The following is a 3,293-nucleotide window of genomic DNA, read 5'->3' as shown; positions in this document are numbered from 1 at the left end:
TGTAGTCTATAACACATCTTGCGTTAACCTCAGGTGGCCCTGGCCCCTACCCTGGAAGAGCTCACACTCCAGGTGGGGAGGTAAGCCAGAAAGTAACCAGCATACAATGTTGCAAGTGCTGTGCTAAGCACAGGACCCTCTAATTATGTGGAGTGGGGGACATTCATCTCAGAGCAGGGAAGTGCTATCCACGGAAGGCTTCCAGGAGGAGGAGATGCCTCAACAGAGAATTGAAAGGTAAATTGAATAAGGACCTGCCAGACTGAGGGAGCAAAAGGAACAAAGGCTCAGACATACACAAAAAAAGCATTCTTTCAGTATTTATTCAGTCTGTCAGAACATGGGTAGAGCCACATGCTATTCTGCATTACTAGAGAATAAACGAGGCGAGAAGCTGCAGGAGAGAATCCTGGAATAGCAGGCAGCGGCCAGGTCATGCAGGGCTGTCTTAGTTCCTTCAGGCTGCTGTAAAAAAAAAAAAAAAAAACCTCATACTGGATGGCTTATAAACAACAGAAATTTATTTCTCACAGCTCTGGAGGCTGAAAAGTCCAAGATGGAGGCACCAGAAACATTGTTGTCTATTGAGAGCTGGTTTACTGGGTCATAAATGGTACCTTCTTACTGTGTCCTCATATGATAGACAAGGCAAGGCAGCTTTCAGAGGCCTCTTTTATAAGGGCACTAATCTTATTTGTGTGGGCTCCATCCTCATGATCTAATTACCTACCAAAGGCCAGACCTCTTAATACTATCACCCTAGAAGGTAGGATTTCAACATATGAATGTTGGGGGGGACACTAACATTCAGACCATTGCGAAGGCTTTGAATGCCAGCCTTAACTGAGGGTTTGCACAGATTGTGGGTCATCAGTTGGATCCCCAGACAAGTAAGTCACCTGAACTGTCTGAGCTTCCATTTCTTCCACTGTGTAACAGGAGATCATAAAAGGTCCCACACTCACTTTGCAGACTGTGGATGAGATCATTCATTCTTTCATTAACTAACATTTGTTTAGTGTCCCATGTGTACCAGACATTGTAGAAAGACTAGGGATGCAGGGATGAATAAGACATTATCACCACATTTAAAGTGTCCACTGTCTAGAGTGGAGGTACCCACAGGAAGAGCTAATTAATAAATCAATAAATTAAGGTCAGAACAAGCTAGAAGAAGAACAGAAAGGGCAAGGGAACTGGCATATAATGTATGGGCAGGCATTGTGCTAGATGTTTGGGGGATGTTATGCTATTTACTCTTCCCAGAAGTCCTCTATGGTAAAACAAAAGGCACAGCTACCAAAATATCCCATCTCAGTGGCCAACAAATTTCACAGAAGATGGAAACATTGGCCCAGGACTCTGGGTCAGGCTTACCTGCTTAGCCAGCCCAGGTTGGAAAACTGAGTCTTTTAAAAGATTCAATGTAATTCTTTCTTTTTATTCCAAGCATTTGCTTGTTCACTCTTTAAAAGAGAATATTCATTTGCTCCCATGGCTCAATGATGAGAGCTTGATTTACGGGAGTCATGAAGAACTGCTTGAATATGCTTTTGAGGCTGGGTATTTCTGAGGTGAAGGCAGTTTCATGCTGAGATACCTGTTGGCAAAATAATTCATGCACAGAATGGAAACAATTTTTTTAAAATTAGGATTTTGTTTCATGGAATATTTATCACATTTGAGGCTATGTTTTTGCATTATTTTCTTGTCTCATTGCAGACCTGTGATGCAGAATTGAGCTGTTGGAATTCTAACAAGAGCCACCATTTTAAGCAAAGTTTATTAATTAGCTTTATCATTAATGATGATAACAAATTAAGTCATCTTTTTCATTCATCCATTTGATCATTCATGCAATAACTTAGCAAATGTTTACTGAGCATCTAGCAAGTATTAGGTACCATGCTCAGTTCTAAGCATATGGTGATAAGCAAAACAGACATAGTCCTTACCCCAAAAGGATCTTGGAGTCTACAGAAAGAAGACAGACGATAAACAAATAAAAATACATATATGATTGCAATTGATATGTTGTGCATCACATGCAAATGATACATATTATGCTTGATATGATACACAAATACAACATACCTTGAGAACATAACAAAGGGAGATCTGACCTAATTAGAGTGCTTAGGAATGTTTTCCCCCAGGTAGCTGCCTTTAGGCTGAGCTCTGAAAGACGAGTGTGAGTTAGGTGATGGAGGTGAAAGGTAGTCCAGGCAGAAAGAGCAGTATATTATAAATTCCCAAGGCAGAAAGGGGCTTACATTCATATGAAAGACAGCCAGTATGGTTGTTGAGTAATTAAGAACTTGAGGGGAAAGAAAAGGGCACTGCGATTGGTGCTCATTGAGCAAGGTGGGCCAGGGCGGATTAGAAAGGGAGGAGCAAAATGGAGAAAAACAAAGTATTATGGTCAGTTGGTTGTCCTTTTGGCCAGCCAGTCAGCAACCAGATCAAAAGTCTCATACTCAAATTCTACTCACCCTTCAAGGAGTAGCTTCAATATCACATTCATCTACTTTGGGAAAGGATGCATTACACAGTCTCTTACTAACAGATTCACAATGCACATTAGGATATCAACAACTCTGAGAAATCCTGTAACTGAGACATTTATTTATCTCAGCATTTCCCTAACATGATAGACTACAGAAACATATAAAACACTAGTGTCCCCAAATACATAGTTAGGGAATTGCTTATTTAGGGGACTGGATTGAATTCTCACTGTGGTGTTTAATAGCTGGGTATATACGGACAAAATTTTTAATTGCTCAGAGTCCCAGGGTTCTCACCTATATGGTGGTAATGTCAACAGCTGTTTCATCCTTATAGAAAACCTTTTGGAGGAGAGTCATGCTGTCAGGCTGCCTTCTGTGTACTTAGAGAAACTAACAGGGACCAGACATTCAAGCACCAAGGAGCAGCTCCCCCTCTGTGAATTCTGTTGCATTTACTTGTATAAAGCAGACCACAAGACAAACCAAGAGAGTTTCGTGTAGTGGAAAAACATGTAGAGTAGAAATCTTTTGGAGGTTTTCTATAAGGATGAAATAAACAGCACATGTAAAAAGTCTCTATTTCAATGTCTGGCACATACTAGTTGTTCAGTAAACATGAATTTCCTTTCTTCCATGTTCAATAAAACAGAATAGGTCAAACTTTAGATAATCTTCCCATTGTAAATTACTGTAAGACTAGAAAATTTGCCAGAATTTTCTTAAGAACCCATCAGGTTCTGAGTGCAAAGAATGCAAAAAGACCTATATTGAATCATATCATCA

At 40.2% G+C, this 3,293-nt stretch overlaps 1 long non-coding RNA gene across 1 annotated transcript; it reads right to left on the bottom strand.

The window, feature by feature from the left end:
* Nucleotides 1-307: 307 nt before the first annotated feature.
* LOC105369405 (uncharacterized) lies at nt 308-1,460 on the bottom strand. The gene is made up of 2 exons (XR_950347.3): nt 1,378-1,460; nt 308-465 (listed from the first exon to the last, which is right to left on the bottom strand). It is a non-coding gene; the product is annotated as an uncharacterized LOC105369405 (long non-coding RNA).
* Between the last annotated feature and the right edge of the window lie 1,833 nt (nt 1,461-3,293).

Source organism: Homo sapiens, chromosome 11, assembly GCF_000001405.40.
Source record: "Homo sapiens chromosome 11, GRCh38.p14 Primary Assembly".
NCBI lineage: Eukaryota > Metazoa > Chordata > Mammalia > Primates > Hominidae > Homo > Homo sapiens.
This window is presented reverse-complemented; position numbering and strand designations above follow the sequence as displayed.